This window comes from Homo sapiens, chromosome 11 (assembly GCF_000001405.40).
Source record: "Homo sapiens chromosome 11, GRCh38.p14 Primary Assembly".
NCBI lineage: Eukaryota > Metazoa > Chordata > Mammalia > Primates > Hominidae > Homo > Homo sapiens.
The window spans coordinates 108,929,216-108,941,793 of NC_000011.10; the positions used below are offsets into that span (position 1 = coordinate 108,929,216).

The window sequence follows — 12,578 nt, forward strand, 5'->3', positions numbered from 1 at the left end:
CCATAAGGAAGTAAACAAAAAGCAGACAAGAGGTGGTGACAGGGCCTTGAAAACAATAACTGATGAGAGAGGAATTGGGAGAGTTCACTTTAGCCAAGATGGTTAAGAAGAACCCTCTCTGAGGCAAGACCTGAAGAATTATTGCAAGCCACCTCTGGGAGGAAGGAATGATTCATCCTAGTGTTCTAAGCATGGTTTGCGTAGACAATTATTATTTAAATATTTACCCTAATAGCATCATCATGACTGTACAATTCTGTGTATTCCTGTTAGGAGATTCCTTGGCTGCTTTTCACCTCATCATCATTCTACCCATGTGTCTATCCTGATTGTGATACTGACTTCATAGAAGGTGATGAGTATAGGAAACAGTTGCTAGTCTAGTCCATACAGTGGCAACTCATTAGAAAGGAGTGAGCCAGCATTGAAATTCTCATAAGAACAGAAAAGTGGAATTGAGATGGTCTGAGTACTCTAAATGAGGATGGGAAAGGTAAGTCAGGTGATGTATTAAGGGGCATGTAGTTCTTTGGGGATAAAAAAAGAAAAATCTAATGTGTTTTTATGCTCAATTTAATTAAGTTATAATGTATTGGGGGTATACTAACTCTTTTAAACTATACATCTTTTTATTGACTTTCTGCCTAGGAATTTTAGTTTTTACAGTAAACATGGAGTGAAAAATATAGTTTTCATATTTCTCTTCACTACCTCTCCAATTTCCCCTATTAGTAACATCTTGCATTAGTGTGGTAAATTTGTTACAATTGATGAACTAATATTGATACATTATTATTAACTAATGTCTGTAGTTCAAATTAGAGTTCACTTTCGGCATTGTATATCTTATGGGTTTTGACAAATGTATAATGTCATGTGTCCATCATTATAGTATCACACAGAATAGCTCATTGCCCTCAAAATCCCTTGTGCTCCACCTATCTATCCTTCTCTTTCCGAATCCCTTGCAACCACTGGTCTTTTTATTGTATTCACAGTTTTGCCTTTTCTGGAATGCCATATGGGTGGAATCATATATGCAGCCTTTTCAGATTGGCTTCTTTCACTTAGCAATATATTTTTAAGGTTCCGCTATATCTTTTTGTGGCTTGATAGCTCATTTCTTTTTATCACTGAATAATATTCCATTGTATGGATGTATCACAGTTTGTTCATCTATTGAAAGACATCTTGGCTGCTTCCAAGTTTTGGCAATTATGAATAAAGCTGCTATAAATATTCATGAGCAGGATTTTGTGTGGTAATAAGTTTTCAGCTCCTTTGGGTAAATATCAAAGGGCATGACAGCTAGATCACATGGTAGGGAGTATATTTAGTTTTATAAGAAACTGCTAAACTCTCTTCCGAAGTGGCTGTAGCATTTTGCATTCTTACCAGCAATAAACGAGAGTTCTTTTTGCTCCACAGCCCCACCAGCATCTTGTATTGTCAGTATTTTGAAATTTAACCATTTCATAATAATTTCTGTAGTTTAAAGAAAGCTGTTTTTAACGTTTAAAATACAGTAGACTGTGATAATAATATGCTTTGTCTTTTCAGATTTTGGTTATATGCTGGATTAAGTACTATTCTGCCAAACATGAAATTCTAGCTCAGCATAGCCCTTCCTTATGAACAGGGCTGCCCTTTGAGGAACTGTCTTCTCAGCCTCTCAAAGTGAAGGTTCTTACCTGAGATAAGGCTAATAATAATATACTTAATTTTAATAAAAACGTCAAAGACTATTGTTGCTTGCTGAGGACCTTAACCTAACAGGGACCCAGAACCTCTCTTCCCTCCAACAACATTTGTCCCAGACCCCTACCCCATTCAGTATCCCTTCCTGAGTGTCCCAGCTCCCCAGGAGTTCTCTCATGAGCCATGATAGCACCCTGTACTCCAGCCTGGGCTGAGCAAGACCGTATCTCAGGGGGTCGGGGGACATCTCAAGTTAAAAGACTTTCACCTTACATGGTAAAGACCAATATAATCCAGTTAACATCAACAGAAAAGTAAGATCATGCCCACCATGGGGAGTTGGAGAAGCTATAGTTAACATTTATAATGCATTTACCATGCATATATCACTTATTTAATCTCTCCATGAGGTAGATATTAGTCACATTTACAAACATAAAAATTGGCACCCTGTGACGTTCAGCAGTTTTCCCAAGTTTTAGGCAACTGCCAGGGTTTAAATCGGGTCAGACTGACTCCAAAGCCATTTTCTTTTCCTCTATACCAGAATTTTGGAAATGACATATTTAATAACAGTGCTTGAATCACTGTTAAGTAACTATTTTTAAAAGCAGTCATTTCAACATTAAACAGGGAAGGGAGAAAAGTAGATATTTTTTACATTATGCCATGTGTACATTTCAGAGAAGTTACCTGTAAAGTTAAGGGGATAAAAGGTTCCATGGTCACAGTATCTTCCAAATATACTGAGTTAAACTTGATAGAGACGAAGTTACAATAAGATCCAGGCACCATGAACTAGATGTTATAAAATACCTTTAATAATAAACCTTTTAGGAAACTAAAGATTCTTCTTAATCACCTAGTTACGCTTTCTCCTAATTTTGTCTTCAGATCCTGTGTCTCAATGTTATCCACAAGGTTATTGTGTGTTCTATGCCTTGTGGAAGCCTAAAAGCATTCATTTTCCTGCTTTACCAGTCAAATAACCCTCTAAAAGCAGTAAGGTTGGTCTGATATGAATTGTTTTTAGTGAGCCAACAAAAGCTACTAGAATCAGGGGTCTGGTTTTTGGTTTTGTTTATTTCGCACAGTGCTTGTTTTATATGTCAGCAAGGTATAAAATATAAAAAAGGGATCTACCCTTTTTCCTCTAAAGGGCTAGATAGTAATCATTTTACACTTTGAGGGATACTCATCTCTGCCAGGGCAGTGGTAAAGCAACCGTAGACAATACATAAACAAGGGGGTGAGGCTGAATCATCATTAAAACTTGATGTATAAAACAGGCACTGTGTGAAATTTGGCCAACAGGTATAGTTCGCTGACCAGGCTTTCCTATTTAAAGTTTGTAGTTCACTTTAAAGTCTTGGTTGAAAGCTTTATATACTTTGCAAAATTTACCTTCTCCTTCTCTTTGAAAATGGGAACCAGGCCGAACATGGTGGTGTGCACCTTTAGTCCCAGGGAGGTTGAGGCAGGAGGATTGTGTCAGCCCAGTTCAAGGCCAGTTTGGGCAACATAGCAAGACCCCCATCTCTAAAAAGAAATAATAATAAAATGGGAACCACTTTTTGCCAGTCTCCAGTCTTTGAGGATCCTCTTCCATTCTCCATTGAATCAGAGATGGCCAAATGAACAAGATGGTTTCCACATTCTCTAAGAACCCAGTGTGTAGTTCTCAAGAGTCAGGGATGTACTTCATTTAGAGTAGCTAGTGGCTTCATATAATCTTCATCCACTTTGTTTCTTTCCTGGATACCAATGTTTCTTGTTTTTTCTAAAGGTCTTTCTCCTTAAAAGAAAACAAAAGTTATGAGTTGAGAATTTGCTTTTTGGTCTTGTTTTCCATCAACATTAGGTAGTTTGTGACAAAAATGAAAGTAATTTCAATTTTTACTTTTAATATTTTTGGCAAGTGCTGTATTCGCTTATTATACTCTTTGTTGAAATATTGTATCTGCTGGTGGCAAACCACCCTGAGTCTAAAGTCCAGGATAATGAGGGGAGATCCTACTGTTACTGCATGTCTTATGGAACCTGATACCTTTGTCTTGAAGTCATAGTCATTTGTTGGCTGTGCTACATGCTGTTAAAGAAAAAAATTCATGACACTTACTAAAGAAGGGTAAGTCAAACGTTATTCAAGGGGTAGGGGCCACTGCAATGGGGTTTTTTAGTAGGGGCAAGAGATTGAGCTCAACTGAGAGTACAACTCGGACAAGTGAGAGTTACAGAGATTTACAGGGAGGGGTCATTAATGGAAAGTTATTAAGAAGGAACATCAGGGTTGTGGAGGATTCTGGCTAAACAGATTCCACAGGATTATTACTGAAGGCAAGCCTGCGGGATGGGAAATTTGACCAGATATTAAGGGTGAGAGATTTTTGTTCAGCTGACTTAGCAGGATTCTTGCTAAAACTGGACTAAGTGGGCAGACCTGGACTAAAGACAAAGCCCAGTCAGAAAGAGGACTTAGAATAGCCAGACTCGAGTTTGGTCAAAAGAGAGTATCTTTGTCAGTACTTCATTGAGGGTTAAGGTTTTGATGTGATCACACATTTTTAAAAGGATAATAGTTAGATATTATTGCAAAGAACATCAAAATTACTCATTTTTATTGAAGTGACATGCCGAGTTTTGATCTTTTTATAATCTTAAAAGTATTGTCTCATTTCTCAGAGCCTGAAGTTATTGGGTACTTCTTTTTTACAATATAATTTCCCTTCCGCCATTAGTGTTTTAATTTTCACTGTGGCTTTGATCTCTTCAATTTCTTTGGAATTAATGATACAGTGTTTAGAGAAAAAATACAATGCAGATTTAAATGTCTACTTACATACTGGCTTAAAATGAATCATCTATGCTGCAAAGAAGATAAGAATGTGGTTTTAGTTAGGGAGCATTCTTTCTGACCCTGTATGACATACAGTAGGCCAGTCAGATACTAAACAGTACAGAAGCTCAGCCCAGTGGGTTTATTCATGTCTTCAAGAAACATGTATTAAGCCCTTGGGTACCAAGGCAGTGTGGCTGCACAGAACAAGACAGTTTTTGTCCTTAGGGAACTTGTAATCTAATCGAAGATAAGCACATAGACAGTTGCCATAAGGCATTTCAGATGGTGTGATAGAGATGGTGCGATGGAAGTGTGCACAATGTGAGGGTAACCCTAAGAGGGCACTTGACTCAGATGAGGGTGGGTCAGGGAAGGCTTCCCGGAGCTGGATCAGGTGAAGGAGGGCAAGGAGTGAGGATGGTTGTAGAAGCCCTAGAAAACATAGGTGGATTTGAGAGATGATCAATTCAATTAAGGTTATAAAAGAGAAGGTAGCTCAAGGATGACTTCCAGGTTTTCAGTGGGGGAATAGTCCTTTTCACTTAGAAGGGAAATAAATACAGGAAGAGCAGATTTGGGGAAAACATGTAATAGAAGCATGTTTACTTTGAGATGCAGGTAGAAACATCCAGGAGCTGGTTGAATATGCTGATCTGGTGGTCTGGAAAAAACCCTAGGCTAAAATGCATATTTTTAAGTCATTAGCATTGTGGAAGATTGTGGAAACACTGAACTGCATGAGAATACCCAGAATGAATATGTAAGATGAGGATAGTTGAGGCCCAAGGATGGAACCTGGGGAAATGAACATTTATGTAATGGATAGAGGAAGAGGAAACTGGGAAGGTACAATCAGGGAGGTTGTAGTCAACCTTTAAGTATTTTAAATTTAGATGATTGCTGATTACATCTCACATGGAAGTTGCAGTCATGGTAAAATTTAAACTGTCCATTGACAGGGCGTTAACTCAGCAGAAGTTGTGTTTGAAAAAACAAGTTACTGGGTTTAGCCATAATTTGGCCACTTATATAATTTTTAAAAACATGCAAAGCCAAAATTTAGAACACTGGAACTTGTGATATTAAAAACGGAGGATTAGTCAGCAGACAGGAGCCTGTGCACCCACAGACTGGATTGAGTGTTCTGGGGGTGCTCCCACACGTGACACTCTCCTCTGTTAACTCCGCTGGAAGTCGAATTCGCAGCAAAATCCATTGAAATGTTGCCTTTTTTGTTGCAGTGATGGTAATTCTTGGGGCTTTGAACAACCCTAACCGTCATTATTTTTACTATTCAGATGAATGGACCTTTATTGAATGAATTCTTTAAGTCATCTTCAGAAATGAAGACTAGGAGCCCCAGACCTCAAAAAGCTAACCATTTGGTAGGCAGAAGAAGAAATCTTCCACCTCAAGGTGGAATCCTTGAGGAAGAGGTATCATTTGAACTGGCTTTTGAAGGATAAGGGAGGTTTAGATAGTTAGAAAACAGAAAAGGGAATTCCAGATGGAGATAAAAGAAACTGAGAAGCTAGGGCATATTCAGGGAATAGAAAGGAGCCTCAAAGAGCAAGGGGTATATTAAGGGGGGCTAATGCAGAACAGGTTACAGAGGCAGGCTTATACCAGATCATGAGACTCTTTAAAGATTATACTAATAATCTTTCTAGAGAACCACTGAAATTTTTATGAAAAAGGCAAGACCAAGTGGTGCTTGACAGAGACTACTTCTCTAAGCATGCTTACAATGGGCTCAAAAGAGAAATGTTATACATGAAGGTTTTATAAATGATATTTCAACAAGAACTTTTATTTAAGATGACTGGTTCTTAATTTTTTTTTATTTGAGGGGAGGTGGGCATGGAAACCATTATTGAATGGCTTCCTAAGAAGGCTGATATATAAGACTGAAAAGTAAAATTATCAAGAATTCTCACAGGTTTCTCCATATGATCCATGGAGCACCATTTTCTATCCTGGAATGATGACTTCCAACCTTTTCATCATCACAAGACAAGCTTTTGTGTATCCATTTTCACAAAAATTTCAAAATCATCAAAATAGAATTTCCCTGTCATCATCTGTTTTGTTTTCAATGATAATGGTCCCATGTTTTAAAAGATTTTTGTCTCTCAAGAAAGTTAATATTTCACATTTGTTTCATTAACGAAGATGTAATTTTCAGTTCATCCAAGTATATGAAGTATTGAACGTTTACAAAGCTCAGTTAATATAATTCTAGCCAAAAGCAAAGAAATCCCACAACTTAGTCTTTGCCACACAATTGCAGATTTTTAAAAAAATATTGAAAATAACCCATGATTCATATATCTTGACCTAAGCAGTCTCACCTTTTCCCATACATCTGTAGACACAGGGACCCTAAGTTGGAGATCAGGTTATCACAGGAACAGAGATTATGTAGCATACCTACTCTGTCATCATGTGTTCAGATTACATATTACATGCTGATTTTTTCTCTGTTGTATGATACGTCCTTTCAGTGGCACACCAGACATTACTAATAAAGTCTTTATTATTTGGATTATTGAAAGACTGTTATCTCTGAATTCTTTAGCTCTACTTCTTATTTTTATAGCAGTAGTAGGGCGTACCTACTCTGTATGCTTCTGAGCCTTGTGGAATTAAAAAGAGTAATTGACGTATACCTAGCTACCCAGAACTTCAAATTTAATTTTTTTCTTTATTGCAAAGAGTAATACAGGCTCATTACAGAAAAATGAGAAGACATATATAACAGCAAAAAGAAAATTAAAAAAAATCTTCCAAACCTTTTTCTATGCAAACTTACATATAGACTTTTTAAAATACAAATGGACTCTCTCTTTTTGTGTTGGTTTTATAATATTGTCAGTGTCAAAAGCAATTCCTGAAACATCATTTTTAATAGCTGCATAGTATCTCATTTCTAATTTTATAACCTATTTAATCCTTTATGGTTGGACTTTGGGATTTCTAACTTTCTGAAATTAAAAGTAGCTATCCCTTGAATATCCTTGTGCCTAAATCTTTGTCTAAATCTCTATTTCCTTCAGATAACGTCCCAGAAGAAAAATTGCCAGGAATATATATTTTAAAGATTTTTGAAGGGTACTGCCAAAATGCCCTCAAGAAAGATTGTGCCCATTCACTTTTCCACTCACGAGTTTACATTCTAATTGGGAGTTAAGATGCATACAGTTGGAAAAGAAAATCAATTTAGTATCAGGAAATAGCAATCTTAGGTGCAAAATGACTGATAGATAATTGGCGCTTTTCCAATTCAGAAGAGCTCACTTTTAATAGGCAGATTTGTACCTTTCACGGGAGATAAGGAATTGGAGATGGGTCTTGAAGGACAAGGGGAAGACCCAGAAGAGGGAGGTGCCACATTTACAGCAAACACCGTGGAAATGCCCAAGTGTCTGCCGATCTCGCGAGTGAGGGCCGTGCTTGAGGAGTGAGGGACTGGGAGGAAGGCTGACCTGAACGTTCTAACTTCAGGTTTTCCTCTGGCTCTTTTGTTTCTCGTGAAATTAACACTGTTATTCTGGGGTGATGGTGTAACTACAAGTATCTGAAAAAATTAAAATGGTGAAACCAGGAAATCAACCCTATTAAAAAATCGGTTCAATTTCTCGGATTATTTTGATGTTTGGGGTTTCAGAAAATTTAGAAATTCAGAAAGTTATATTCCATTTAAAACTCAATTACAAATAAAAATTTTAAAATTGAATTCACATTCCAATGTTGTATCTTGTTTTCTTAATTATTAGCAATGAGTGAGTTGTTTGGCTCAGATGGTTACTTTGGTTATCAAGACAAGCTTTTGTGTATCCATTTTCACAAAAATTTCAAAATCATCAAAATAGAATTTCCCTGTCATCATCTGTTCCGATTACATATTACTTGATGATTTTTTCTCTGTTGTATGATATGTCCTTTAAATGGCACACCAGACATTACTAATAAAGTCTTTATTATTTGGTTTATTGAAAGACTGTTACCTCTGAATTCTTTAGCCCTACTTCTGATTTTTATAGTAGTAGTAGGCCTTTTGGTGTGCTGAGTTAAGCCATGCTTTTGCTTTTTAAGATGTGCTTTATCCATTACGTTGCACTGTCTTAATGCTGAGCAGTGATATGTTTGCTTTTGACCCTTGCCTCGAACATTTAAAGAATGTGGCAAAAATCTAAGTCCCACAGAAGTGCTGACACGAAGATAAAATGCAGAGCTCAGGCTTGGACTCGCCCCAATTTTGAAGGAACCCCCTCATTGTCAGTCATCTCAGGGACCTCCTTACCTCCCTCGGCTTAGTGGAGAACACTAATTTCACTCCTTTTTCGACCTCTATTGCATTTTCATTATTTCATTATTGCATATTTCATTATTTTGTTACATTATCCCCCTTTTGGTAATTTGTCTGTAGAATGCCTATACTGTTGTTTAATAATTAACTTGTTATACAGATTGCTGCTTATTTGCTATAGAAAGTAGTATAAAGGGCCTTTCTAGAATTTGAAGTGATCCACAGAGCAGCAAAGCTGCCTATTGTGAAAATACTTGGACTACATAAATTTTCTACCTTTTATTATCCAAACCACCTATTTCCTGCAGGGCATGTAATGTGCAGGAGCACATTAACAGAGGATGCAATAGACAGCCCACTAATTAGGCCATTTCTGATGAGCTGACCTGAGATGCACTTGATGTATAGGCAGAGCAAATACCAGTATTCCCTTGAACCAAATAGATCCTGGCACTATAACCCTGTGGGACTGTCACAGGACTGGCCATACTCATAAAAAGATTAGGGCTCAATACTTTTTTTTAAGACCCTCTTTCACTAAGAATTATTTTAATTCTTTGCTGACTGAATTTGTATCACAGGGAACTCTTTCATGTTCATCTCTCCAGGCACTCTTTTAAAATGCAGTGATTTGTGGCTTTAAAGAACCTCATAGTGCCATCTAGTTTGTCTTTCCTCCAGTGGTGAAAGAGAATGGCTGAGTCAGAGCATTGGACACTTCTGGGAGGAAAATGGAGGAATTATTTCCAGTTTTGCATCAAGCTGGTCATAAATGGATATGCTGATGAGGCACATTCACTTTGATATCCAGGCTGTCTTCTTAAAGAGTAATCCAGGCCGTTGGAAGTTGAGCAGTTTGTTCTCTTTCAGAACACATCATGTGCTTGGGGTATAATGTAATATTTCTGTGATTTTTTTATTTATTTATTTTGCTGATTAGATATAGTGAATGTGAGAATTTAAAAGGGAGTAGTTTTTAGAAAGTTAACGTGTATTGAGCACTACTGTGTGTTCTCATTTATCTAAGTTCATTTAATTCTCACAATTTTAAGTAAATTATATAATCCCTGTCTTTACAAATAAGACAACTGAGGGTTAGAAGTGTTAACTAAAGGTCTGACTGTGTTGATGTCAAACCAGTGCTCTTTCCACAGTTCCTGGCATTTAAATGTTGACTGAGTCAACTCTAATTGCTTTCAAAAGCTTGCCTTTGGGGCTGGATTCAGTATCATTCATATCTGAGTTTGAATCCCATGGGTGTAATCTTGGTCCAGGCATTTAACCTCTCTTAACCTCATTGCAGAATGAGACTAATGCACTCCACACTGAGGGTTGCCATGAATATAAATGACATAATCTATGTAAGGTATTTAGCGCAGTGCCACACTCTGAGGAAGCCCTGGATTCATGGTTGCTGCTACTAATAGATGGACTTTTTATTTTGTTTTAATCATATATCCAATAATTGGGTCATCTTGGAACAGATAATATCTCAAAATGCTTTGAGGAGAATGTTTTGCTTTTTCTTCTGTTTTTAGCATATCAAGTGATTTCCTCAACTTTCAGAAATTAGCTTTGTTTTTATGGTCTATGTCTTGAGTATGTACTTAATACTGCAATAATGTTTGCTTTCTTAAGGCTATCTGTATCTTTGATACAGATTTTTAAATGGAGGAAATTTATTTGATGTCTTAACTAATCTGTAATTTAACATCTCAGGTTCTATTTTATGCATGTTCTCTAGATCACAACTTAATGCAACAGATATTAGAAGCAGTACCTGGTGTCCAGATAGCTGTTAGCTTGCACACTGCTACCTAAAGATAACCTGACTTTCAGTAGAGGTAGTTTGGTGTGGCAGGACAAGCACACACTGGAGCGAGACATACCTGTGGTGCATCTCAGTGTCCTCAAATTGTGGATGATACAGCTGTAACTTCCTAGAATGATTGTGAAGATTGGATGACCCAGTGTGAACAAAGTACCTTGCATGTGCCTGGTGCGTGGTAGGACCTAGCTACTGATGGGAAGGTACTTACTAATTATACAGATATCTTGATGTTGCCATGGTTTCCTTCATTCTTGAATAATATCACTTTACCAACTCTCTGTTAATTTTGTCCTATTTTAAATGTTTGATTTCATACTGAGTCTAAAGTAAATCTTTGGATTTCTTCTCACCAGTGATACCAAGAAGAAGCAGGGGATGAAGAAGAGGAGCAACAGTGAAGTGGAAGACGTGGGACCAACAAGTCATAACAGAAAGAAGGCCAGGTGGGACACTTTAGAGCCTTTGGATACCGGCCTGTCTTTAGCAGAGGATGAAGAGCTGGTGTTACATCTGCTAAGAAGTCAAAGCTAAATACTTCCTGCGCCTGCCTTCTCCTTGAAACCTTGGTTATGACTGCGTAGGCAAGAAGTTGAAAAACAGTTGATTTGGGGGCACTTAGGTACCATATGCCCCATTCCCAAAGGGCACATTTCTGGATAGAAGCGATCGTATCTCCAAGTCCCTCTCACAGGACATGCTTTGTGCCATCACTGAGCATACTCAGATCGAGGGTGGATGATACCATTTCCTGACCCCGTTTTCCAGCATGTGTTCTGTTAGATTTTTATCCATGGGTTCCTACGCCTTGTCATTGGAAACACTGCCTTTGTCTTACTGGCAAGTTCTGGAGCTCTTGTGTCATTGTTAGAAATCCCTGTCTTGCTTACTGTACAGAAGTTTCTGTTGCTGTTAAAATTGCTCATGATTTCGACGTATTTAATATTTTCAAAGAGACTATGATGGACCAGCCCTGAGAAAGAATGAGTATTTTTGAATTGAGATGATCAATAATAAACATATTTCCTATAAAAGAAAGTATTAATGTTTGCATTGTGTCCAGTAACATAAGAGACCTCTCACAGGAAGGTTCTTAAGATTAAAGTGCTTGGCCATTTCCTCAAACTGTGAATTTGTCATATTCTTAAGTTAGCCTGTTCTCAAGGATATCATTTAACTTAACACTTGCAGGTTTGCTAGCAATTGTTTATAAAATCGGTAGAAGTTCTGAATATGAAGACTGACTAAAACATGGCCTCTCACTGTGCACATGGTAGCTGCAGGTCCTCTGCAAGTGCTCCAGTCAGCACCTACCACAGAGCCCCACCCAGACTCAGCTCCTGGTAATGAGTACGATGCAAAACAAGACAGAGCCTCTTTTTTGTTACAAATAACTCAGATTCTTCAAGGGGAAAGAATATGGTAAAGAAATGAGTCTTGACGTGAAACTGATTTTATAGATTTGCCACCTTCTCATGATTCTGTCCCTTTCCTATTTTCCCACTCCGTGCACAAACATTTTCAGTAACAGGGGCAAATAAATTATAAATACAAGGAAGAGGAATGATGGCATTACACCTGGGTATCTCAAACCTTTTCAACTCAGCCTAAGTCCATGTTTGTCTCAGAAAAGTTTCTCCTCTTTTATTTGATATCCTCGTGAGCCCGCACCAACATCATTTCACCATCAAAAGGAAATCAGGTGACACCTCAGCTTCTCGCTCTTCCCACTCTTTTCTTTACTAGTTCTTTTGATGCCTCTTCTGTAACTTTTTTTTTTTTTTTTTTTTTGAGACGGATTTTTGCTCTTGTCGCCCAGGCTGGAGTGTAACGGCATGATCTCAGCTCACTGCAACCTCCACCTCCTGGGTTCAAGCTATTCGCCTGCCTCAGCCTCCCTAGTA

The 12,578-nt window shown here is 37.7% G+C and overlaps 1 protein-coding gene across 1 annotated transcript in view; it reads left to right on the top strand.

Moving 5' to 3' along the window:
• Positions 1–11,712, top strand: part of DDX10 (DEAD-box helicase 10) — a 275,859-nt gene extending 264,147 nt beyond the window's left edge. Inside the window, exon 18 of the mRNA NM_004398.4 lies at positions 11,031–11,712. Coding sequence (NP_004389.2) covers positions 11,031–11,208 — 178 coding nt within the window. The 3' untranslated portion in view covers positions 11,209–11,712. The remainder of the gene's footprint in view (positions 1–11,030) is intronic.